Source organism: Homo sapiens, chromosome 18 (assembly GCF_000001405.40).
Source record: "Homo sapiens chromosome 18, GRCh38.p14 Primary Assembly".
NCBI classification, from domain to species: Eukaryota; Metazoa; Chordata; class Mammalia; order Primates; family Hominidae; genus Homo; species Homo sapiens.
Window position 1 is genome coordinate 77,373,344 of NC_000018.10, and position 2,141 is coordinate 77,375,484.

A 2,141-nucleotide genomic window follows, 5' to 3' on the forward strand; every position below is an offset into this window, starting at 1 on the left:
GACCAAGCCCAGGACCCACACTCAGGACCCCTCTCCCCACCTCACACCCCAGCCAAGCCCAGGACCCACACTCACGGTTCCGCTCCCCACCTCAAACCCCGACCAAGCCCAGGACCCACGCTCACGGCCCTACTCCCCACCTCACACCCCGACCAAGTCCAGGACCCATGCTCACGGTTCCGCTCCCCACCTCACACCCCGAGCAAGTCCAGGACCCATGCTCATGGCCCCGCTCTCCACCTCACACCGCAGTTGCAGCATCTGAGGGGAGGGGCAGGACAAGGTGGCAGAGGTGGGGCATTTTTACCCAGAGAAGACCAAAAACAGTCAAAGGGATGGTTTAAATACCTGTCTTTTCTATTTTTTCACTGACTCCATGGTAACAGATTTTGCAGTAAGAACCAACATACACACATCCCTAAAACATATTTCATCAGATAATGCTGACATTATGTGTAGCACATGCTGATATTTTCTATTCTATTCTCATTTTCTCTCTCTTTTTTTCAAACAAATGATAATGAAAATCCACTAAGCTAAGGGTCATGACCAACTAACGGGTAACACCCTTCAGTTTGGAAATACTGATTTAAATTTTGGCTTGCTCTAAGCTATAATTCACATTTGACATTTAGATCATATTTTTCCCCTACTGACTCTCAAGTGGGAGCTGAGAGGCAGTACCTAATAAATACAGAGAAAAAGAAAGAAGGAAGGAAAATTGATATTTACAACACAACCAAGTTTTAATGTGAGTTAAAAAAACGGGTTTCTTTTTGATGGAAATCTTCTAAAATTGTGCTGATGGTTACACACTTCTGTGAATGCACCAAAAACCATTGAATTGTACATTTTAAATGAGGTCATTGTTGCTCTGTGAGTTATATGTCAACAAAGCCGTGAAAATCAGCAAACGAGAACAAACAGTTCTGGCCTAGGCCCTGCGAGGCCTCTTTCTAAGGCCGCCGCACGCCCATCTGGGCCATTAAACTCCTCAAGGCGCTCTGACTTCCTTGTGTAAGAGATATTGCTGTTTCTTATAAGGCACTGATGTACTTTTGCTTCCTTATTGGGGTAAAATTTAAAGACCATAACACTGATGGTTTTAAGAGTGCAGTTAAAAAAAGTTTTGACAAATGTATAAACACATGTAACAACCGCCCCAATCAATACACGGCACATTTCCACGGCCCCAGCAGGTTTCCTTGGTCCCCTTCCCAGCAAATCCCTCCCTGGTTTCTGATTTCAGGTGCTGTGCTCTGCCTCGCCGGGAGCCCCACACAGGGAGGTGGAGTCCTGTGGGCGCTGCTTGCAGAGTGGATCCTCATTTCGTGGCTGGAACGTTTTGCGCATTGTCCCTGTGTTTTGTAACTCTCCAGTGTCTTCAAGCAGTTATCTTTAAAATGTATTTTTCCAGAGTTTTTCATTGCTATGAGCAAGTGCGTAATTCTATAGGAGCAATGCTAGCAATAGAGGGCACTAGAAGAAAAACTTGTTTTTGATTTTGTCTCCAGAAGTCTCTGAAAATTCCTTAGGACATCCTTACATTTAAGATATTTTGAAATGTTATTCTCTATCAAGCTAAAAAATGAACCACTGTTAACATTTTTCTTCTCAAATTATGCCCAGCTAATTTATTCAGCCTCCTTAGAGTTTGCCCCATAGTAAAAACATATAATCTAAGCAAAATAATAAAAATACGACTAATCTAAAATGTATGCTTCCCATTATTCTACAATATTTAATTATGCAAATATCCTCTTGCTAATAGCCACATGCCTACAGTATTTAGATACTATAAGTAAAATCTGGAAACAGGTGCAACCACCTATCTGAATCGCCTCACAGCAGTGTCTCTCGGCGAAGGGTCACTGTCGTGTAGAGGACTTCAGCAGGGTCCAGAGGCCACGCAGACTATTGTGGCGTGGGAAGGCCCTTCTGCGGGCTGTAATGGATGGAGACGGGGATGCTGCCAAGCATCTCTCAATGATCAGAATGGCACCCCGCACCACACAATTGTCCAGAAGCAACGTCTGCGGCGCCACGAGTGAGAAACCCACTGTGTCCTCTAAGTGCAAATTCTCTCATATAATAGTACTACTGGGAGTGGGCTAGTGGGCAGTAAAATATTGCAGCTAAGA